This window comes from Homo sapiens, chromosome 11 (assembly GCF_000001405.40).
Source record: "Homo sapiens chromosome 11, GRCh38.p14 Primary Assembly".
NCBI lineage: Eukaryota > Metazoa > Chordata > Mammalia > Primates > Hominidae > Homo > Homo sapiens.
In genome coordinates, this window is record NC_000011.10 from 72,926,252 (window position 1) to 72,952,095 (window position 25,844).

Sequence of the window (25,844 nt, forward strand, 5' to 3'; positions counted from 1 at the left end):
GGCCTTCCCATGGCTGCCCATAGACCAATCCACACACACTTCCTCCATTCTGAGGTCCATAAAAGCCCTGGGCTCAGACAGAGCAGAGCAGAGGATGGCCAGAGGAGGAATAGGGTAGAGAGAGGATGGCATGACCAGTTGCAGAGAGGAGTATTCTCTCTGCTAATAGCTGGAGACGATGGGATGGCCAGCTGCAGAGAGGAGTACTCTCTCCATTGAGAGCTGCAGAGACAACTTGCCAGCAGAGAGGGGAGCTTCAGAGACCTGCAGAGACATCCCAATGACTTGCCTGTGGACAAAAGCCACCCTCTCCAGGGCCTCCTCTCTGCTGAGAGCTGAACACTCCAAGGGACGATATGCCTACAGAGAGGAGCTACTCACTCCTCTGAGCTGTTTTAACAGTAAATAAAATTCTTCTTTACCCTTCACTTGTCTGCCTACCGCATACTTCCAGGACACAGGACAAGAACTTGGGCAAAGGCACCATGGCCACAGAGGTTTCTAGCCAGAAAAACTGGCACCCCAGAGATCCCGTAACAAAAGGAGCTTGATTAGAAATACTGAACTTTTGTTGATAGTTTTGAATTTAGATGTAGAAGCATCTTTCTTCACTTAAGTTGGAAGAATGTCAGCCAGAATTATACAGATGTGCATTATTTAACATAAAAGAGTGAAAAAAATGGCGACTTGGTGCACTAGTAGTACCTAACTACTTATATGAAAAGGATTTACTTCCAACAGGGATTTGAACCACTCTTTTTAAAAAGGCAAATCCCTACTTAATAGTAATAAATCCTAGTTTTTACTATCTTAACAATTCACAAGCACAAAACAAATGTATTTCAGTCTTGCCCTCTCTTCTTTTCCGGGTAGGCAAAAAACCCTGTAAGCCTTTAAGGGTAAGGAAGATCCTTCAGATACGAGCTGCCTTCCATTTTCTAAGGTCTAACTAAACCAGATGTTCTCAACTTTAAGCATGCCTGAGAATCACTTCAGAGCTTATAAAAGCACAGATTGTTTCAGGGCAGTGAGGCCATTCTGTATGATACTACAATGGTGGATACATATCATTATACATTTGTCTAAACTGAGAATGTACAATACAAAGAATGAGCCCTAATGTAAACTGTGAATTTGGGGTGATGATGATGGTGTCAGTGTAGGTTCATCAATTGCAACAAATGTGCCACTCTGATGGGGGATGTTGATAGTGGGAGGAATTGTATGTAGGGGAAGGGAGTGTAAGGGAAATCTCTGTACCTTCTGTTCAATTTTGCTGTGGAACTAAAACTGCTCTAAACAATAAAGTCTGATTAAAAAAACAGTAACACAAATTGTTGGGCCCCACCCAGAGTCTCTGATTCAGCAGGCTGAAGATGGGCCCTAAGAGTCTGCATTTTCTAACAACTTGCCACTGGCCTGGGACCATACTTTGAAAACTACTGAACTGCACAGTTACTTTAGCTGACTAGGTTGAGCATTTATGTGGACTTAGATTCTGGTGACCCTCTGGAAGGAGAGTGGCTGCAGGCAGAGAAGCCTACCATCCTGAATAGGGTCAAGAGCACCAATAGGTACTGTTACTGTAGATGGATCAGCAGCTGTTTTCAACGGGGAATCACGCTCTACTTTAGATGCAAGACAGGAATGACCTTGAGCTCTGAAATCAGTTGGATGTGGGTTAGAATCCCAGAGCTTTTACTTACTTTATCATGTTAATGATTTTCTCATTTATAATTAGGGAAAGTGGGAGTACCACATACTCCACAGGACATAGTGAAGATAAAGGATAAAGGTAAAGGATGTGGTATAATGTTAGTCTTTCTTGCCTTGCTTTAAAATCATCAATGCATTGGCCACATATTGATAATGGTTAAAGCTGGATAATGAGTACGTGGGGGTCATTATACTGCCTTTTTTTTTTCCTTCAGTGTATGTTGGAAATTTTTCATAAAAAAGCATAAAGAAAACCTGAATAACATATTAGGGAAAAAAAATTCCACAAAATTTTTTTCAATGGCTCCCACTGTATATTTTGCAAAGTAGAAATTCTTTAGCAGGCATTGAAGATTCTTTACAATCTGGTCCCAACATAACTCTCTCTCATTAGCACCATCTCTCATCACTGTTCTCTGCATTATACTCTACTTCCCAACTATACTGAGTCATTTTGGAAAATGACATTCACTTTCATGTTCCCAAATAAGTTATTCTCTTGGCCTAGAATGTCCTTCCCCCCTTCTCTTCCACTTAAATACTTAAATGATAATGATGGTTAACACAGGCAACTGACATTTACTAACGGCTTACTGAGTTCCAAGTGCTTTACAAAACTGACTCAACTAGCTCTTCCTTAGCGTTTTCACAATATTCTTCTATGTGCTGTATGGGTATTATTGCCAATCATGGATTGAATCTTATTTAAGTAGGTGAGAGGAGGCCCAAGTGATCAGAAGCCACTTTCTTTTTTTTATTTTATTATTATTATACTTTAAGTTTTAGGGTACATGTGCACAACGTGCAGGTTTGTTACATATGTATACATGTGCCATGTTGGTGTGCTGCACCCAGTAACTCGTCATTTAGCATTAGGTATATCTCCTAATGCTATCCCTCCCCCCGTCCCCCACCCCACAACAGTCCCCGATGTGTGATGTTCCCCTTCCTGTGTCCATGTGTTCTCATTGTTCAATTCCCACCTATGAGTGAGAACATGCGGTGTTTGGTTTTTTGTCCTTGCGATAGTTTGCTGAGAATGGTGGTTTCCAGCTTCATCCATGTCCCTACAAAGGACATGAACTCATCATTTTTTATGGCTGGATAGTATTCCATGGTGTATATGTGCCACATTTTCTTAATCCAGTCTATCATTGTTGGACATTTAGGTTGGTTCCAAGTCTTTGCTATTGTGAATAATGCCGCTATAAACATACGTGTGCGTGTGTCTTTATAGCAGCATGATTTATAATCCTTTGGGTATATACCCAGTAATGGGATGGCTAGGTCAAATGGTATTTCTAGTTCTAGATCCCTGAGGAATAGAAGCCACTTTCAATGGAGATTAATCTTAAAATATCTTTTTCAGCTATCCAACACCCAGAATTCCCTGAATTTTAATTACCACCTCTGCAAGGCTGTGATACTCATTAACCTGCACATGAACTCATTTTCTGGTGGGTAAGATAGCTGGAGGCCTTCTGGCCTGGGTGGATTATTGCTAGTGTGCATAGAGTTAATGCAGGAGATACAAAAATTAAGAAACAGTTGGAATTCAAAGCACGGGAAGTGGATGATAACCCTATGATTTGCTCCAGCCCCCTGCCTTAAATTGCAATTGTCTGAACCAATGATGGCATCTAGAAATGAAGTTCAAAGCAATTCTGGGTAGTACTGTCTCAACATGGTTTGTGATTAGAAGGCAGATTGCATAAATATTTATATAGACTTTGATTAAAAAGCCAACGATCAGAATAAAAATTGTCCCAAAAATAGAACCAAAGAGCTTGAAAACAATTTTTACAAACTCCCCATCACAGTATTTAAAACACTATATTGAAACCATTTATATACATGTCAGATTTTCCCAAAAGACCCTTAATTCCTTGAGAACAGGCAGCACTTTCTTCCCTTTATCCTACCCTTAGCAGAGGCCTCTAATAAATGATTATTGAAATGAATCAAACTGAGAAGGGTCTGAGCTACAAAAGCAGACTCCAGTTGTGTAAGAGGGAAAGCACCAAAGAAACATTTTGAGAGTGAAGTAGAGAATGAGGCATTTATCTTAATTGGGTCACCTTTATTATGATGAAAAAAATAATATGTTGTGAAAGTTGATTATAAAAATTGGGTCATTCTTGTCATATCCAACTAAATCAATTGAGGGGCCAGGAGGAAAAAGCACTTAGGGCATATAATGTTGCTCCATGAATGTAATTCTCTGCAAGCCCGCTGCTGAAACTGCCTGTGGTAACCTGAAACCAGTATTATCTAATAGCTGCCGAAACAATCTGTTGTGACTCTAAGACTAACTACCCACTGCTGTCACCAATCACAGCTTGCCAGCTCCTCAAAACTTTACTAGTGCCAACCTTCTCTTTGTTCTTTGTACATACTGAAGATCACCCAATCTGTCCCAAAATGCAATTCTTGTTTTCCAAATAAAACATTTTTAATTTAGAGATTCATCTCTATATTTTCTTTGACTTCAACAATGTAATTGGCTGGGTGCGGTGGCTCACACCTGTAATCCCAGCACTTTGGGATCAGGAGGATCACCTGAGGACAAGAGTTTGTGACCAGCCTCACCAACAAGGTGAAACCCCGTCTCTACCAAAAATACAAAAATTAGCTGGGCGTGGTGGTGCCCATCCGTAGTCCCAATTATTTGGGAGCCTGAGGCATAAGAATTGCTAGAACCTGGGAGGGAGGCTACAGTAAGCCAAAATCGTGCCACTGCACTCCAGCCTGGGTGACAGGGCGAGACTCTGTCTCAAAAACAAAACAAAACAAAATGTAATTATTCAGACTGACATGATTTTTTAATTTTTAAAGGGTAGTAGGGGTTGAGGAGGAGGTAGGGATGGCTAATGGGTACAAAAAAATAGAATAAGACCTACTATTTGATAGCACAATAGGGTGACTATAGTCAATAATAATTGTACATTTTAAAATATCTTAAGAGTGTAATTGGATTGTTTGTAACTCAAATGACAAATGCTTGAGGGGATGGATACCCTACTCCCCATGATGTGCTTATTTCACATTGCATGCCTGTATCAAAACATCTCATGTGCCTCACAAATATATATATATATATATACCTACTATATACCCACAATAATTAAATTTTTTTTTTTTTTTTTGAAAAGGAGTCGCGCTGTGTCACCTAGGCTGGAGTGTAGTGGTGCGATCAGGCTCACTGCAACCTCTGCCTCCCGGGTTCAAGTGATTCTCCTGGCTCAGCCTCCTGAATAGCTGGGATTACAGGCTTGCACCACCATGCACAACTAATTTTTGTGGGTTTTTTTTTTTTTTTAGTAGAGATGAGGTTTCACCATGTTGGTCAGGCTGGTCTCAAGCTCCTGACCTCAAGTGATCCATCTGCCTCAGCCTCCTAAAGTGCTGGGACTACAGGTGTGAGCCACCATGCCCAGCCTTAAATTTTTTTTTTAAATAAAATAAAAATTTTAAAAATTAATTTAAAAAATAATTTCTAAGTTTTAAAAACTCTTCTGGCCAGGCATGGTGGCTCACGCCTGTAATCCCAGCACTTTGGGAGGCCAAGGCAGGTGGATCACAAGGTCAGGAGTTCAAGACCAGCCTGGCCAAGATGGTGAAACCCCATCTCTACTAAAAATACAAAAATTAGCCGGGCGCAGTGGCAGGCATCTGTAATCCCAGCTACTTGGGAGGTTGAGTTAGGAGAATTGCTTGGACCCGGGAGGTGGAGGTTGCAGTGAACAGAGATCGCACCACTGCATTCTAGTCTGGGTGACAGAGCAAGACCCTGTCTCAAAAACACAAAAAACTCTTCTTACATCTTGCATAACAGTATCCAACAAACATCTGTCAAATAGAATTGCACAGACAGACAAGATCAGGGCTATGCGTATATTCTTCACAAGATCTTGCAATAGCATTCTGGGTCAATGCCATTGTTTCATTGTTGTTGTTTTAAATTTTTATCAGACTGACTTATATTTTGACCAGACACTACTTCCCTCCTCTGACTTTCTAACCTGTGCATCAAATTGCCTCTTAGACTGAATCATTCTCTTTTCCATCTGCTTTTCTTTTGAGTTCCTCAGTGTGTGATGCCACTATTCACTTGCCAACCTGTGGCAGAAACCTGGAAGTGAAGATTTACTTTTCCCTCTGCCTTGTCCCCCACATACTGTTAATTACCAAATCTTATTGATTCCACTTCTTAAATATTTACCAAACCCAACCCCTCCTCCTGATCTCCACAGCTACTCCCCTCTGGCCATCCTGTCTCATCCAGATTATTGCAGCAATCTTCTGTTGCCCTGCATCCAACTCTCCCTCTCACCAACTCATTTCCACTCTGCAGCTAGGAGGATGTTTCTAAATTGTGTATTTTACTTGACTGCTCTACACTGTTCACTGGCTACTCATCACATTTAGGAAAAGGCTTTTAAAAAAATCATTACAGACCACATTATCTGAACTTGGCATACCTCTTCAGCTTCTTCACTTATTACTCACTCCCCATTCTCCTTCCGTATTACACCTTCTCTACAATGCAGTTTTTGGCTTCTCCAATACTCCTTTTTTGCCTCTGAGCTTTCACACAGGCTTTTCTTCTGCCTTGACTACTCTCTGCTTTCTCTCCCATGGTTTGGCTCACTCTTATCAGCCTTAGTCTCTTCACTTAATCATCTACTTGGATATCTCTATTGTCTTTTTGCTTCATAACTCCTGATCATAGCATACAACCTCATACTGGTGATATTTGTTTGTATGTCCCTCTTTTTGTTTAAGTTCCATAAAGGGAGGCATCAGGTCTGTCTGTTTACCATTCCATCTTCTGTGTTGAGCATAGGGTTTGGCATACTGGTAGTGCTCAATAAATATCTGTTCAACAAATAATAACACCAATCAGAATTCGCATGATTACAAAAAATGAATAAACCTATACTTGAGCCCCATGACTGAGAAATCTAATGATGTTACATAACATTTATAAAATCGTATACAAGTTAAAGGAGTAATTGATTTCATAAAACTCTAATTCAGTAATTTTCAAATATTTTCAGTAGTGGCATCCTTTTATGTGGAATTCCAAGACATAAAATATATATAACCTTGCATGCCTTCTTCTTCCTTCTAGCAACAGATCCTGCTGTCCTGATCTCAGGGGTAAACTTGCAGGGTAGGCAGATATGCAAGACAGAACCTCAAACCACTGTCCTCTGCCCCTAATTACTGGGTGGAGGTGGTCCCTTGACTTAAATTAGGTCATCCCTGGGATAGAGGCTGAAAGATTAATCCAAAAATGGCCTATCCTTCCCACCAAAGTTATTCTTCCTACCAAGCAGATAGTGCCTATCTGTAGTAGGAAAGAATTAAACCAACTCACAGAGAAAAGCAGTGATGAGAAATTTGGCAAAGTGAAGATGGGAATGGTGGGCAGAGGACAGGGACAGTGTCCTTGAATTGGGTAGTTCTTGAGCAAGCACCATCTCATCCTTTCTGTGATTTGGTTACCTTAGCCAACAAATTCCTCTGTTTTGCCTAAGCTACTTTGAGTTGGGTCATTGTTATTTGCAATCAAAAGACTTCTTACTAAAGAGTAATAAATGATACCCAACTTATATTAGCCATATCCAAATTGTGTCTTTTGGTTGCATTGTAAGGAAAAAAAGTTGATTCACATGGACAATAAATTGCAAGTAATAATAATTCAATTGCTTTCCTTACTATTCCTGGTTCTCTTCAATTAAACAGATCTCAAAGCTTAAAGTAGACAATTTTTATGTCAAAGCTGAATTGCAAATACAATCCAAAAGCTGCATATATTTCTTACAAATTTAAAGTAAAGTAAAAACTATTTAGTGCTGGGTACAGTGGCTCATGCCTGCAATTTCAACACTTTTGGAGGCTTAGGTGGGCGTATCACTTGAGCCCAGGAGTTCAAGACTAACTTGGGCAACACAGCAAGACTCCATCTCTACAAAGAATACAAAAATTAGCCAGGTGTGGTGGTATGTGGCTGTAGTCCCAGCTATTCAGGAGGCTGAGGTAGGAGGGCTGCCTGAGCCTGGGAGGTTGAGGCTGCAGTGAGCCATGATCGCGCCACTACACTCCAGCCTGGGCAACAGAGTAAGACACTGTCTCAGAAAAAAAAAAAAAAAAAAAAAAAAGAGCTATTTAAAGCTTACAACAAATCATAAAAGTATCATAACAGTTTGAGAAGGGCACGTATGATGAAGATGCATCTGTATCTTGTCTAGCATTTTACATTTAAATGAGCAAAACACAAGAATGTTCTTTACACTTGTTTAAGTGAACAGACATGCACAAACTTCAATTCAAAGAGACCTCTATGAAGAGCCATGCCTTTTTTTTTTTTTTTTTGAGACGGAGTCTTACTCTGTTGCCCAGGCTGGTGTGCAGCGGCACTATCTCGGCTCACTGCAACCTCCACCTCCTGGGTTCAAGAGATTCTTCTGGCTCAGCCTCCCGAGTAGCTGGGATTACAGGTGCATACCACCATACCCGGGTAATTTTTGTATTTATTAAAGTAGAGACAAGGTTTCACTATGTTGGCCAGGCTGATCTCAAACTCCTGACCTCAGGTAATCCACTTGCCTCGGCCTCCCAAAGTGCTGGGATCACAGGCATGAGCTGCTGTGCTTGGCCATAAATTTCTTAATCAATGATAGAATTCACTTATAAATGCTCAGAAATGGCAGGATAAGCATTCTTTCAAGGTTTATATAAATGTGAGTTAATCTGGCAGTATGAACTCCTTGGTGGTCTCCAATATGCAAAAACTTGGTAGGTAATTTATCCAAATATACTTAAAAAAATAGCCAAACTTTTTGACTATTGGACACAAATTTCTAAGGGAATAATTCTGTAGTAATTGAGAAACTGAGAAACCATGGGACCTTTGACCAGCAATATGTTTTAATGACTCCACAATATTTTTAAACAATTGAATTTGAATGCCTTTAAGCAGCCACGTCCTTTCCAGGTAGCTATTAGGCCACACACTCCCTTACACATTACCTCTGCCCTCTTTATTCATTTTATCTACTTGATCCTTAAAATCAGTTGAGTTTGGAACCTAAACTCCCAAACTCATAATGTTAAATACTCAAAATAGTGAAGAAAAAAAAAGGAATATTCTAAGGACAAATTCAGAAACTTAGAAATCTGGAATGCTCCACTGAACATTTACTTACAGGAAAGTGTAAATGTCCTAGAACTTGTTTGAAGAAGAAGATTATGATGAATTAGGAGGGAAAATGGGTCATTTTCCTAAGCATTTGATGTAATTTCCCCTAAAGTAAGAACTTTAAACAGTCCCCTCCTTATTTAGATCCAGGAGGGGCACAGATTCTTCAGCAATAAAGTTTTGCTGAAATCTCTTGAGTTTCCTTAATGCAGCCTAGAAAAACAAACTCTTCTTTTCTGAGAGCAACGGGCATTTCTAAAATAGACTTTGGTAAAAGTCAAGGATATAAATATCAAGATGATGATAAATGTGAGTTGTCTTAAAATTAAATCATGAAATTCTACAGTCTTTCTTTGCTGATACTGGAAGAAAACAGACTGCCTCCTTGCTTTTGTTTATCTTTTTCAGAAGACCCCAAGCTACGCCTAATCAGGTTACAAAGAGAAAGTAGCTTTTTACAAGAAATCAAAACAAGTACTGGGCTGTATTTACATTACTGTAAATATCTTAATATGTAGTTGAATTTATCAGTTGATATAAAGTAAAATCAGAAACATATCATCTAATTTTTTATGTGGTTGTTTTATTTAAAAGCACTGAGTTACTTCAGGTTACTTCATGTTCTGTGAAAGAGGAAACAAATAAGGAAGTTTATGTCTGTAAATTACAAAACCAGGAAAGGAAAATTTCAATGCTGTTTTTCTATAAAGCTTGTGTTATCCTCTTGCATTACTACTAGCATGCAAGATAAGTCAGATGTCTGAAAAAGGTCTGCTGTACTACTTATGCTCACCCAGTTGTGAGTGGGCTAAAACCACATAATATTTAGGTTGCCATCTCAAAACATCATGGGCAACAGAAAACCTTGAACCCTATATACTTTCATTCAAATCCCAGTTCTACCACTTACTAGCAACCATCACTCTGGGAAGACACTGACCGTTCTTGAGCTTTCCATTCCTTATCTGACAGAATCATAAGAGTATGGTATGTGTAAATGGTGGTTATTAAAATAATAGGGCTTAACCATTTCTATGTTCTACCAGAGAATTTCATCTATCTCCCTTGTAAGCCTATAGTAAGGAATTTTGGTGACAGACTGGGCTTCTGAGTCTGACTCTATTATGTACTTGAGCAGTAGAACTGCTCTAAGTCTGTTACCTTATCTATAAAATAATTTAAAAATAGTATCTCCTTAAGAGGTCTGTTAAATCAATATTTTCTATGTACCATTTTAATTCCCTTGTTTTTTTTACTATATATTTTGGCATGGTTGCCTGGGAATTATCAGTGTGATTTTATCAAACTCAAGAATCTCGACCAGGTGCCATGGCTCATGCCTGTACTCCCAGCACTTTGGAAGGCCAAGATGGGAGGCTTGCTTGAGGCCAGGAGTTGGAGACCAGCCTGGTCAACATAGCAAGACTCCATCTCTAATTTAGAAAAGAAATAAAAATTTTTAAAAAAGAATCTCAATTGACTGACCTTTAAATTCAGATTCTCCCTTCTGCCAACTTAACTTTGCTGCTGAACACTTATAGTATATCTTTACTTCAGTTATTGTATTTTTAACTCCAGAATTTATATTTGATTCCTTTTTATAATTTGTATCAAAGATGATATTCTTTATTTGCTGAGATATCATTCTCATACTTCCCTTCAGTTCTTCAGACATGGTTTCCTTTAGCTCTTTGAAATATATTAAAAATAGGCGATTTAAAATCTTTGTCTAGTAAGTCCAATGTATGGACTTCCTTGGAGACAGTTTCTCTTGCCTCCTTTTATCCCTGTGTATGGGCTATATATTCCTGTTTCTTTATATGCTTCATAATCTTGTTAAAAATTAAACATTTAAATAGCAGATTTCTGCTCATCAACCCTACCATCCAATAGCAAAGAGGAGTTCTTCCTTAGCTGTGGTCCTGATGAGGAACAGAATATGAACACAATTATATAGCTGGAGGAAGACAGAGCTAGAGGACCAAAGGCTTGATGAAGGAACTCTTAAGGCTTTTGGGGAAACTAAAACAGAAGTTTAGATATTTAGGTATCTAAATCAGAAAAACGTATAGATTAGACAGTAAATAGGACTGCTGCAAACAAAAAAATTCTTGGCATTTCAGTTTAGTCTGAGAATTTTGCTATATTCATCTTTTGGCCATGTTATTTAAATAGTCTCTTTTGTGTGCATTTTTGACATCAAAGTATTGAACTGACAGAAAGCATTTAGCAAGAAATATAAAGCCTTAGTGTTAATTCAGTAAACAATATCTCTGATGCTGGCCAATTTGAGTATTCCTTACATTGACATTTTAGGAAAGAGTTAATAAACATGTCATGGACATATGGGACCATTAATGGAAAGGCAAGGTCTGATCTCTAGATGTTTCCATCTCCTGACCTCATGATCTGCCTGCCTCGGCCTCCCAAAGTGCTGGGAATATAGGCGTGAGCCACCGCGCCTGGCCAAAATATTTTTTTAGAACCTACTCTGTGCCAAGAACTATGCTTAGCATTAACTCTGTGTTTGTATATGTGCTTTTGAATACATAACCATGAGAACCTGGGCAAGCATTGGAAACAAACAAACAGGATAATTTCAATTATACAGGGTGCTAGAAGAGAGGCACCTAGACAAACATGAGGTTTAAAAATGATTTTCTATAGGAAATCATGTCTGAGTGCACCCAGTTATTATGCTAGGCACCATGGGAAATACAGAACATAAGATCAAATATGTGAAACAAAGACTGATGTAGCTGTTAATATAATTTAAGATAAGTGTTATGTCTGAATGGTAAGGGAAACAACAGAATAATGCTGGCTGGAGTCTCTAAGGAGTATGTCTAAGAAGTATGACATGAATTGAGATAGGAGGAAAGCATTCCAGGTAGGGAAATACATCCCCAGCACCCTCAATGGCAGAATTTAGTTACCTGAGGTAAATAAATGAAGAGTGCTGAAGGTAAGACTGGGGCAGTATTATCCAGATTATGAAGGAGTTTTTTTTTTTTTTTTTTTTTTTTGAGACGGAGTTTTGCTCTTGTTGCCCAGACTGGAGTGCAATGGCACGATCTCGGCTCACTGCAACCTCTGTCTCCTGGGTTCAAGTGATTCTTGAGTTTGAATTCCAAGATTTATACTTGAATTTAATGTCAGCCAGTCGAGACTATTAGACAAGGCTATTAGCAGAAGTTCAAGAAACCTGGCATAGCTGGAAGAACTTATAAAGTTTCAAAGATTGAGACCAGAAGGGTCTAGGATAGTTAAGGGTGTTCAAAGCAGTAGCCGGTTTGGGGAGAATTTGCCTTCTATTCTCTTCCTTGCTGGTGTCTAGGTGTGCCCACAGCCAGCAAAACAAGTCAGGGATTTGCAAGGTGTCCTTTTCCTGACTGAATGAGGGGTGAGCAGATCACAGCATCTCACCAGATGGAGAAGCTTAGGCATCTTCTAGCAGGTAGTGGAAGTCTCTATAGGTTTGTCTGGAGAGGGTCAATTTTCATCATTCTTTTACTCGTATTCTACACAAACAGTAGAGAGGAACCTGTCTTGAAAGTCCTTCAGAATTACATTAGTCACAATTTTCATTAACAGAATAGTTCAGTTCTAAACTATTGAAAAAAATCTTATCAAGCTAACCCAAGACTAATTTATCATTTTGGTTTTTGTTTTCTTAATAATTTAATTCATTAGGTTTTAAAATGGTTTTTGAGTTGCACTCTAAAGCTGATTTAAGATTATAAATATTTTCTAAAAAAATATAGTAAGGATAGGGTCACAGAAGTTTTGGTCTTTACATTTAATAAAAGTGGCCTCTGAGCTACTAAACATGTAATGCAGGATATTTTCAAATTTTAATACAGTAGCCAAACTGTACTTTTTTGGGGGTATATGGTTATTCAGGATAATAAATATTTTAAGTACAGAGCCTATGAAAAAAAGAATCTGTTTCCTTATTATAAACACTCACATGTCCATTCTAAAGTCAATTCCAGCAAAAACTTGTGCTGTGCTTGGCAGTATTTGAATCACAGAAATAACATTAGCAGAGGACGTTCAGGAAGGAAGGAAGGTCAAAAAAGACAGGATCCATTTCTCAGCAGCATGACAGTAATTCCCCCCTAAAAATTGTAACTAAGCATTTTTCCCCCAGTCGGTAAGATTGTGGCTGCAACAGATTGGGCCTCAAAAACCTTTCTAAGGAATGGTTTTTAAATTATTAAACAAAAATTAAGTTTCAACTTCCATGTTCCACAGTTTAATGGTACTACAATTATAACTTAATTTTCTCTAGAGAGTTATAGAGATTTATTCAGATGTTAAAAGCTGCCTGTTTGATGAATACATTTCAGTTTCTTGGTTAGAATTTGATCACTGAGAAAATTCTCTGGCTTATAGGAAATCTATGAAGACGGTTGATGGCTCTTTCTTTTCCTTTTTTTTTTTTTTTTTTTTTTTTTTTGAGACAGTGTCTCGCCCTGTCGCCCAGGCTGGAGTGCAGTGGTACAATCTAGGCTCACTGCAACCCCCGCCTCCCGGGTTCAAGTGATTCTTATGCCTCAGCCTCCCGAGCAGCTGGGATTACAGATGCCCACCAAGACACTCAGCTAATTTTTGTATTTTTAGTAGAGATGGGGTTTCACCATGTTTGTCAGGCTGGTCTTGAACTCCTGACCTCAAGTGATCTGCCCACCTTGGCCTCCCAAGTGTTGGGATTACAGGCATGAGCCACCATGCCTGGCCTTGACGGCTCTTTGTATAACCGAGTAGTAAAGTTCCAGGGAGTTTCTTCGAGAACATCTGTGGACTGCTTGTACAGTCCCCTCTGGCAAGAGCCCCTAGTGTTTTATGCGGCAGTGTTACAGCCTGTATAGAAAATGCAAGCAAATCAAAATTGAAAAGGCATTTGTGACCTACCATAGGTGACTCTCAGGTCTAATTCCATAGAAGCAGGACAAATAAAATTTAGCCCCAAGTTGGAATCAGCTTTGCCATCATCCTTAGCCTTTTAAACTCATCACTACTGAGATTCTAAATACTGAAAGCCTCACAATATCTAAATGGGGCTTTGTGTGTTTATATTATGCTTACCACAATGCACTACACTTTCAATACTGAAGGGCCTTTTACAAAGCATGTTAGTATTTTAGTTGATGTAAACAGGTTTAATTAGAAACATGCTAGTTTCTAAAATGCAGTTACCAAATATTGTTTTAATATTAAAGGAAATAATATATGTAATGAGGTTAGTATAATATGTGGCAATAAATAGTAAATAAGCTATTTTCCTTTCTGTCTGGCAGTAGCCATCAGGTAAGCCAAGATGGGTGCATACCCGCACATCCAGGAGCTATGGAGAAAGAAGTAGTCTCATGTCATGCGCTTTCTTCTGAGAGTCAGCTGCTGGCAGTACTGCCAGCTCTCTGCTCTCCACAGGGCTCCCCGCCCCACCCAGCCTGATAAAGCGCGCCGACCAGGCTGCAAGGCCAAGCAAGGTTACATTATATATAGGATTCATGTTCACCGTGGTGGCAGAAAACGCCCAGTTCCTAAGGGTGCAACTAATGGCAAGCCTGTTCATCATGGTGTTAATCAGCTAAAGTTTGCCTGAAGCCTTCAGTGCGTTGCAGAGGAGTGAGCTGGATGCCACTGTGGGGCTCTTAGAGTCCTGAATTCTTATTGGGTTGGTGAAGATTACACATACAAATTTTTTGAGGTTATCCTCATTGATCCATTCCATAAAGCTATCAGAAGAAATCCTGACACCCAATGGATCACCAAAGCAGTCTATAAGCACAGGGAGATGTGTGGGCTGACATCTACAGGCCGAAAGAGCCATGGGCTTGGAAAGGACCGTATGTTCCACCATGCTATTGGTGGTTCTTGCCGGGCAGCTTAGAGAAGGCGCAAAACTCTCCAGTTCCACTGTTACCACTAATATAAGTAAAGTTTGTAAAATTCATACCTCATAATTTAGGACAGTCAAAAAAATAAATAAATAAGCTATTTTAATATTTTTATTCTCCTTCAAGGGACCAGAGGCCACATGAGTCTTGTTCACTATGTGTCCCCAGTAAATGACACATAGAATGACAGTAAATATTTGTTAAATTATGAATTAATGAATGGCCTCAAATAAAAACCTTTGCTAAGTCACTGAATCCCACACGTTCAAAATAGTATCTAAGAGGATATAAAAACTATACTTAAATTATAATTTATATAATTTTTATATTTATAAAAATACAAATTATAAATTATGTTGGATGTCAGTTTGCTTAGTATAAAATATAGACTCCCAACTCTATTAATATATTACTTATTATTACTTTATCATTAACTGTTTTGTTCTTGTATTGATCTATTTTTTCTTTTAACTCATCACTGGTCAGAAGAGTTGTTTAAACAACATGAAATAAAAATGTTCAATTTGTTAGTAAGCAAAAAATTAAAAATTAAGATTTCTTTACCTTCATCCAGATTGTTGCTCATATATGTACGTTTGTTTAAATATAAAATACAGTTTTGACAAGGGTGCAAGGATAGGCACTTTCATACACTGCTTTCAGAAGTATATACTGATATAATCTTTTCAGAGGGCAATCAGCTAGCCAAATGAAAAGTATTAACCAATCTTTGTTTTTGACCAGGGAATGTAGCTTCAAAAAAAGATATCTTAAGGAAGTTATCAAAGAGGTGTATTAAGATTGTAAAAAAGAACCTTCACTAAAAAGCATTAAAAAAGTTTATAAAAGCATAAAAAAGTAATAAAGTTAATGGCATATTAATATGATCAAATACTATGCAGTCATTAAAATCACATTTTCAAGTAACATGTAAAGGCAGTGATACAGTTTGAATGTTTTGTCCCCTCAAAATCTCATGTCGAAATGTGATCTCCAATGTTGGAGGTGGGCCTAGCAGGGGGTGTCTGTGTCATGGCAGCAGATCCCTCATGAATGACTTGCTGCTGTCCTCACAGTAATGAGAGCGTTCTCACTCTATAAGTTCACACTAGAGCTGGCTGTTTAAAAGAGCCTGGCAGCTCCCTCCTCTCTTGCTCCATCTCTCACCATATGACATGCAGGCTTCCACTTTGCCTTCTGCCATGATTGTAAGTTTCCTGAGGCCTCACCAGAAGCAGATGCCAGCAGCATGCTCCCTGTACAGTCTGCAGGACTGTGAGCCAAAATAAACCTCTTTTCTTTATATTACCCAGCCTTGTGTATTTCTTTAAACCAATGTAAATGGGCTAACACAGGCAGGAATAGCTCAGAATGTATTTTATGTGAAAAAATAAAAGGACTTACGTGTATAACAATTTTGAAACATGTATATGTAATACATGCCTAGGAAAGATTAGAAGGATATGCCAAGATGACAGTAAGAGTGGTTTACTGTTACAATGTGAAGTTATTTTAATTTATCTTTAGGTTTTCTGTACTTTTCAAATTTTCTTCTGGTACTTTGGTAATCAAATGGAAAATACATACTTTATTAAAATTAAAAAGTATTGACAAACATGCTATAGAATGTTATGGTATATGCTATGCTATTCATTTTATTTTATTTTTATTATGGCTCTCCTAGAGGATGTGAAGTCATATCTCACTGTTTTGTTTTTAGACACAGGGTCTCGCTCTATCACCCAGGCTGGAGTGCAGTGGTATGATCATAGTTCGCAGCTTCAAACTCTTGGACTTCAGAATCCTCCCACCTCAGGCTTCCAAGTAGTTAGGACTACAGGTGCATACTTCCCAAAGTGCTGGGATTATAGGTGTGAGCCACCATGCCTGGCTAAATCACAAATTCATTAATACTGACTTTTTCTTTTGAGACAGAGTTTTGCTCTTGTTGCTCACGCTGGAGTGCAATGGTGCGATCTTGGCTCACTACAACCTCCGCCTCCCGGGTTCAAGTGATTCTCCTTCCTTGGCCTCCTGAGTAGCTAGGATTACAGGCGCGTGCCACCATGCCCAGCTAATTTTTTGTATTTTTATTAGAAATGGGGTTTCCCCATGTTAGCCAGGCTGGTCTCGAACTCCTGACCTCATGTGATCTGCCCACCTCTACCTCCCAAAGTGCTGGGATTACAGGCATGACCTACTTTGCCCAGCCCTGACTTTTATATTTACTATCTACATTTAACACTTACTTCAACTTCAACCTACTTAATTCAACTATAGTTAGGATTAACTGAGGACTACTGAATAGAATTCCAAGATGTCTGATGGAGAGGTTTGAGTAGGAAAGGATTAGTGAGACACTGAATCAGGAAAAAGACAGCACAGAACAATATGGATTATGGGAAAACAGTAAATGTGAACTTCATATTACCTTGGTTATTTATTAATAGCTTTAATGAAAGGGAAGGAAATTGAAGAGAATGACAGGTGAGACGGAGATGAAGGGCACAGAAATGGAAGTGAGAATTCCCTGGGTCAGTCTATTTGACTTTTGAACATATATGTTTCAGTGTTTTACATATTTAAAATATAAAATTATATTGGCTGTTTTGTTCACTGAGGCACTCAGAATGATACCTCACACTTAGTATTTATTCAAGAAATACTTGCTGAATAAGATACATAAACATTGTATTTTGATATTTTATTAGTTCATTAACTACAAGAAGTTTCAGTTAGCACATCTATAATTAAATATTTGTTCTAAGGCATGTTCAAATATTGTAAACTACTACACTAAGAACGTATGAAGATAAACTGACTATTAAATACTCAGACTTTAATCATTATTCATTGTGATGCTGCCAACTTTAACTTCTATTGCATGACATGGAGGTAAAACAACACAATTACTTCTAAAACTATTCCAATGAATAGAAAAAGAGGGAATCCTCCCTAACTCATTTTATGAGGCCAGCATCATCCTGATACCAAAGCCTGGCAGAGACACAACAAAAAAAGAGAATTTTAAAACAATATCCCTGATGAACATCGATGCAAAAATCCTCAATAAAATACTGGCAAACTGAATCGAGCAGCACATCAAAAAGCTTATCCACCATGATCAAGTGGGCTTCATCCCTGGGATGCAAGGCTGGTTCAACATACTCAAATCAATAAACATAATCCAGCATATAAACAGAACCAACGACAAAAACCATATGATTATCTCAATAGATGCAGAAAAGGCCTTTGACAAAATTCAACAACGCTTCATTCTAAAAACTCTCAATAAATTAGGTATTGATGGGACGTATCTCAAAATAATAAGAACTATCTATGACAAACTCACAGCCAATATCATACTGAATGGGCAAAAACTGGAAGCATTCCCTTTGAAAACTGGCACAAGACAGGGATGCCCTCTCTCACCACTCCTATTCAACATAGTGTTGGAAGTTCTGGCCAGGGCAATCAGGCAGGAGAAGGAAATAAAGAGTATTTAATTAGGAAAAGAGGAAGTCAAATTGTCCCTGTTTGTAGATGACATGATTGTATATCTAGAAAACCCCATTGTCTCAGCTCAAAATCTCCTTAAGCTGATAGGCAACTTCAGCAAAGTCTCAGGATACAAAATCGATGTGCAAAAATCACAAGCATTCTTATATACCAATAACAGACAAACAGAGAGCCAAATCATGAGTGAACTCCCATTCACGACTGCCTCAAAGAGAATAAAATACCTAGGAATCCAACTTACAAGGGATGTGAAGGACCTCTTCAAGGAGAACTACAAACCACTGCTCAATGAAATAAAAAAGGATACAAACAAATGGAAGAACATTCCATGCTCACGGGTAGGAAGAATCAATATCGTGAAAATGGCCATACTGCCCAAGGTAAATTATAGATTCAATGCCATCCTCATCAAGCTACCAATGACTTTCTCACAGAATTGGAAAAAACTACTTTAAAATTCATATGGGACCAAAAAAGAGCCTGCATTGCCAAGTCAATCCTAAGCCAAAAGAACAAAGCTGGAGGCATCACACTACCTGACTTCAAACTATACTACAAGGCTACAGTAACCAAACAGCATGGTACTGGTACCAAAACAGAGATATAGACCAATGGAACAGAACAGAGCCCTCAGAAATAATGCCGCATATCTACAACTATCTGATCTTTGACAAACCTGACAAAAACAAGAAATGGGGAAACGATTCCCTATTTAATAAATGGTGCTGGGAATACTGGCTAGCCATATGTAGAAAGCTGAAACTGGATCCCTTCCTTACACCTTATACAAAAATTAATTCAAGATGGGTTAAAGACTTAAATGTTAGATCTAAAACCATAAAAACCCTAGAATAAAAGCTAGGCAATACCATTCAGGACATAGGCATGGGCAAGGACTTCATGTCTAAAACACCAAAAGCAATGGCAACAAAAGCCAAAATTGACAAATGGGATCTAATTAAACTAAAGAGCTTCTGCACAGCAAAAGGAACTACCATCAGAGTGAACAGGCAACCTACAGAATGGGAGAATATTTTTGCAATCTACTCATCTGACAAAGGGCTAATATCTAGAATCTACAATGAACTCAAACAAATTTACAAGAAAAAAACAACCCCATCAAAAAGTGGGCAAAGGATATGAACAGACACTTCTCAAAAGAAGACATTTATGCAGCCAAACGATACATGAAAAAATGCTCATCATCAATGGACATCAGAGAAATGCAAATCAAAACCACAATGAGATACCATCTCACACCAGTTAGAATGGCGATCATTAGAAAGTCAGGAAACAACTGGTGCTGGAGGGGATGTGGAGAAATAGGAACACTTTTACACTGTTGGTGGGACTGTAAACTAGTTCAACCATTGTGGAAGTCAGTGTGGCGATTCCTCAGGGATCTAGAACTAGAAATACCATTTGACCCAGCCATTCCATTACCGAGTATATACTCAAAGGATTATAAATCATGCTGCTATAAAGACACATGCATACATATGTTTATTGTGGCACTATTCAAAATAGGAAAGACTTGGAACCAACCCAAATGTCCAACAATGATAGACTGGATTAAGAAAATGTGGCACATATACACCATGGAATACTATGCAGCCATAAAAAATGATGAGTTCATGTCCTTTGTAAGGACATGGATGAAGCTGGAAACCATCATTCTCAGCAGACTATCGCAAGGACAAAAAACCAAACACCACATGTTCTCACTCATAGGTGGGAATTGAACAATGAGAACACATGGACATAGGAAGGGGAACATCACACACCAGGGCCTGTTGTGGGGTGGGGGAGGGGGGAGGGATAGCATTTGGAGATATACCTAATGTTAAATGATGAGTTACTGGGTGCAGCACACCAACATGGCACATGTATACATATGTAACTAACCTGCACGTTGTGCACACGTACCCTAAAACTTAAAGTATAATTTAAAAAAAACTAGACAATTACATGGTCAATAATTACAATGCTCAAAATGTCAATACCTGCCAATATCCTCTAATGCAAGTCTGTAAAATAGGTATTGTGGAAGTATCTAGCATATTTTACCTTTAAAATACGATGGTATAAACAGAGTAATAGCTACCATTTACAGAATATCTATTATATTCTAGGAGCTTTGTGCAGTAACTCTACTTTTTACAACCACCTTTAAGGTAGACAACATTTTCATTTTACAGAGCAGGAAACTGAGTCCCAAGATGTTAAGTATAATGCCTAGGGAAATTTTTCAAGCTTAAGTAAACATTCATATTCACAAGACTACTCACAAGGATGTAGGACAAAAATGACTGCCTGCCAACAAGGCAGCACCAGGTGCCCCTCTTTGTGGGACTAGTCTTTGCAGCCATCTATGCAATAGCTCACCCAGCTACCCAAGAGCTATTCTCCTTGTGTCCCAGCCTGCTTTCCCAGGCCCCAGGTGAGATTCAGGTCCAAGAAAATGAGACTCACATCACTGGGTCTGGGAGTCACTCTGGTTTAACAGCTGCATGCCCCATGGGGCCAACATCTCTTAACAACAATGCTGTAGGTACGAAGCATTTTCCAATATATCTTATTTCTTAGTTAAGGGCTTTAAACCAAGTGGAAGACCTAGGTTTTATGTTCAAATTTATTTAAACTTCCCCTGGGTAAGAAATGCTGTGTGTCACAAGAGAAGTTTGAACTCTTCTTATCCAGACTCACACTCAGGCCCACATCTGGCCAAGAGGAGCAGAACTGAAGAGGTTTTCCCACAACAATGGTTGATCTACAAAAATCCACTTATGCTCTCCCATGTAGTGTCCCCTCTGACTTGTGATACACACTTACAAGTTGTCTGACTAGAACTAAAGCCAAAGTCAGTGTTTACTTGACTCACATAGGAATTGACCACAAGATCTTATTCTAAGCAATGAACTAATCAACCAGAGTCACTGAGTCTAGCAAGAAATGGGTATATTATAATGAAAGATTAATAGCCACACCACTATATTGCTGGTCCTAATGGACGTGTAGGAACTCCCATCCTCCAGCACATTCTGTTGGAACAGCCCTTACTTTAAATCTCCCAAAAGTTAGTTCATAGATTTCTGATTATAAATTACAGTGTGATAAAATCATTAGTTAAAAAAAATATTGAAAACATAATTTTCTCATAAAGAAAATTAAATACAGAAAAATCCAAAGAAAACAAAAATCACAGGTAATCTCACATAAATATGGGAACATTAACTTATAAAACAGACTTTAAAAACAAATTCAAGACTATATTTTACATATTATTTATGATTCTCATTTTAATCAGTTAATACAGTGTTAACATTTTTCATGGCACTATAATGGTATAATCTTATACAACATAATTTTTATGACATCGTTTGGGTATCATACATTTTTTGTTTGTCTGTTTTGTTTTGTTTTTTTGAGACAAAGTCTCACTCTGTCACCCAGGCTGGAGTGCAGTGGTGCGATCTCGGCTCACTGCAACCTCCACCTCTGGGTTTCAAGTAATTCTTCTGTCTCAGCCTCCTGAGTAGCTGGGATTACAGGCATGTGCCACCAGACCTGGCAAATTTTTGTATTTTTAGTAGAGATGGGGTTTTGCCATGTTGGCCAGGCTGGTCTTGAACTCCTGGACTCAAGCAATCCACCCACCTCAGCCTCCCAAAATGCTGGGATTACAAGCGTGAGCCACTGTGCCCAGCCACTGGATATCATAAATTATTGGCTGCTTATTATGAAACATTTCAATTACTTCAAAATTACTGAATGTTTCATTTTTCAACATTTTAGTTGCTTTCCATTTTTAATCTCATTGTCATCATCAAGCATGTAGACAAATATCATAATAGATATTTATTATATCCTTAGAATAAATTCTTACAACATAATTTCTGAGACAAAGAATATAGTTTATTTTAAAGCATTTGATACATATTACCAATTAAGTCCTCCAAAACAACTGTATCAATTTACATTATCAATAATAGAATATGAGTGTATTAACAAAATTTTAACTTACCATTTTAATGGATACAATTAAGATTAACATTGTCATAATTTTCATTTCTTTTTTTTTTTTGAGAGGCAGTCTCGCTCTGTCGCCCAGGCTGGAGTGCAGTGGCACAATCTCGGCTCACTGCAAGCTCCATCTCCCAGGTTCACAACATTCTCCTGCCTCAGTCTCCCGAGTAGCTGGGACTACAGGTGCCCGCCACTACGCCTGGCTAATTTTTTATATTTTTAGTAGAGATGGGGTTTCACCACGTTAGCTAGGATGGTCTGGATCTCCTGACCTCGTGATCTGCCCACCTCGGCCTCCCAAAGTGCTGGGATTACAGGCATGAGCCACAGCACCCAGCATAATTTTCATTTCTTTGATTACTGGTGGGATGCTAGATTTTCACAGTCACTAGTCTTATTTTTTATTGAGATATTAGTCACACACCATTAAGTTAATCATTTTAAAGTATACAATGCAGTGGCTTTTAGTATATTCACAAAGTTGTGCAACCATCACCATTACCTAATTCCAGAACATTTTTATCACCACAAAAAGAAACCTGGCCGGGCGTGGTGGCTCACGCCTGTAATCCCAGCACTTTGGGAGGCCCATGGCGGGCAGATCACCTGAGGTCAGGAGTTCAAGGCCAGCCTGACCAACATGGTGAAACCCTGTCTCTACTAAAAACACAAAAATTAGCTGGGCGTGGTGGTGGGTGCCTGTAATCACAGCTACTCAGGAGGCTGAGACAGGAGAATCACTTGAACCCTGGAGGCAGAGGTTACAGTGAGCCGAGATCATGCCACTGCACTCTAGCCTGGGCACCAAAGAGCAAAACTCCATCTCAAAGAAAGAAAGAAAAGAAAAGAAAGGAAAGAAAAAGAAAAGAAAAGAAAAGAAAAGAAAACTTTATAGCCATTAAGTAGTCAGTGCCCTCTCCCCCTGTGCCTGGCAACCACTAATCTACTTTCTACATTTCTGGATTTGCCTATTCTGGACAAATGAAATGGAATCATACAATATATACGCTTTTGTGTCTGGCTTCTTTCACTTAACACAATGTTTTCAAGGTCTACCCATGTTGTAGCATAAATCATTACTACATTCAATTTTATGGTTGATAATATTCCACTGTATGGGTTTACCACATCTTGTTTATCCATTCACTAGTTGATGGACATTTGGGTTGTTTCCACCTTTGGATTGTTATGAATAATGCTGCTACAAACATTTGTGTACACAACTTTTTGCTTGAACACTTGTTTTCAGTTCTCTTGGGTATAAATCTAAGAGTGGAGTTTTGGGGTCATATGACAATTCTGTTGGATAGTTTGAGAAACCACCAAATGCTAATGTTCACATCACTGTTTTTCCACAATGGCTGTTCCATTTTACATTCTCACCCAATTTCTCCATCTCCTCACCAACACTTGTTATTTTCTGTTTTTAAAAATTTTAGTCATCCTAGCGGATGTGAAGTGGTATTTCATTGTGATTTTGATTTGCATATTCCTAATGAATAAAGGTATTACTCATCTTTGAGAAAAAAGTCTATTAAAATCCTTGCCCTTTTAAAAAAACTGGGTTATTTGTTTTTATTGAATTGTAAAGCTTCTTTATATATTCTAAATATTAAATCCTTTTCAGATATGTAATTTGCAAATATTTTCTCCCATTCTGTGGGTTGTCTTCACTTTCTCCATAGATTCCTTTGATACACAAAAGTTTTTATTTCTGCAATTTGTCTATTCTTTCTTTGGTTGCTTGTGTTTTTGGTGATATCTGAGAAACTGTTGCCTATTCTAAGTTAACATAGACTTGCATTTTTTTTTTCCCTCAAAGAGTTTTATATAGTTTTAGCTCTTAAGTCTTTGATTCATTTTGAATTAATTTTTATATATGCTGTGAGGTAGAGGTCCAACTTCATTCTTCTTGCATGTGGATATTCAGTTGTGCCAGTACAATTTGTTGAAAGACTATTCTTTCCTCCACTGAATTGTTTTAGTACCTTTGTTGACAATCAGCTACTGATGTATGATTAGTAGTCTTTTGTATTTCCCTTTTTAAAACTGAATTTGTAGTTTTTCCTTATTTCTTTTAGGATATTTTAATTTTTCATTTATAAGAATACTTAACTCCCACATTATCATTTGGCTTCTCAGATATTTAGAGGCAGCACAGGTAGTAGTTGCGGTGGAAACTATTTGTTGTTGTCCGCCAAATGTTATCCCTTTCTTCCTGGGCACATGCTGTGGGACTACACTTCCTAGCCTCCATACCTGCTGTGAGATTGACCACGTGACTAATTCTCTCTAATTCAGTGTGAACAGAAGTAACATTTGCTCCTTTAAGGACTAGATCTTAAGAGAATAGGTGTGTCTTCTCCATGCTCTCTTTCCCCTATCCACTGGCTAGAACTCAAATAAATCAATGACACAGGTTTAGCCAGGCCATGAGAGAAAGTGATGGACTACCCTGCTATCTGAGTCTCTGAATAACTTCATGAGGCAAATGCTACCTATCTACTCCAAACCATTGCATTAGAAATAATTAACACCTATCTTTTGTGAACCACTGCATTTTGGGTCTTCCTATTCTAATTGTTTAGCCTTTATCCTAATTAATACAGGATTAGTATCTGGTGTAGGATATTGCTGTAACAAAAAAACTAATATAGGTGGCATCTGTTAAGTGGCAGAGTTGTAAGCAGTGATGAAACAGATGCTGCAGATTGGGAAGCTGGTAAACCTTGTTACACTATGACAAAACATCTGGCATATGATAACACAGCAAACGAGAGCGACAGATTACGCAGCTCTAGGGCAGAGTTTCTCAACCTTGGCACTGACTTATACGTAAAGCACTTACTACAAGGCTTGGCATTTAGCTCAATAAATGTTTGCTCTGGTGTTATTATTACACATTTCTGAACTGTGGGATTGTAAAATTTATCACCATTTTCCCATATAGTGCTTGCCTTTGCTAGAATCCTTAAAAATCTCACCCCTACACTAAGATCAGATAAATATTCTCCCATGTTTTTCTCTATTACATTTATCTTTAACAAACCTATAACTTACTTTGGCCTGGTTTGATGGAAGAAACAAAATTTTTCTTCCTAAGAGTCTCAATGTCATGACTTTTAAAATCTGTTATTTTCCCATTGATTTGAGGTTTACCCTTTCACAATCTCTTTATAAATTCTTAATATCTAACTGAGATCAATCATGCTTGCTGAGGAAATGAGGCTAGCGTTCAGTATAGCAGAGAAAGTCCTTACTCCCATAAAACTTAGGGAAAATCCTATTTGACAAGAATACTGTAACAGCTATACTCTTTCTTTCACTTACAAGATAACTTTCAGAATCTACATATTGTTGGCATTTTCAACAGGCACACTTCAGGGCATTTTTATTTTTGGCAAGAATCAAAAATTCCCTGAAGCTTCATGGTAGGTCTGCATATGTCTTACCAAATGAAGACAAGATTA

At 38.3% G+C, this 25,844-nt stretch overlaps 1 protein-coding gene and 1 pseudogene across 5 annotated transcripts in view, besides 1 other annotated feature; one reads left to right on the forward strand and one right to left on the reverse strand.

Annotated features, from left to right (window-relative positions):
- Positions 1-25,844, reverse strand: part of FCHSD2 (FCH and double SH3 domains 2) — a 305,574-nt gene that overhangs the window by 89,507 nt on the left and 190,223 nt on the right. The window lies entirely within an intron of this gene.
- Positions 12,173-12,467: a silencer, noted in NCBI's record as "tiled region #15519; HepG2 Repressive non-DNase unmatched - State 15:Elon, and K562 Repressive non-DNase unmatched - State 24:Quies". NCBI's record gives its function as "represses a minimal TATA promoter and a strong SV40 promoter by Sharpr-MPRA in HepG2 and K562 cells {active_cell/tissue: HepG2 | K562}" and the evidence as "EXISTENCE:reporter gene assay evidence [ECO:0000049][PMID:27701403]".
- RPL15P16 (ribosomal protein L15 pseudogene 16) lies at positions 14,208-14,908 on the forward strand (annotated as a pseudogene).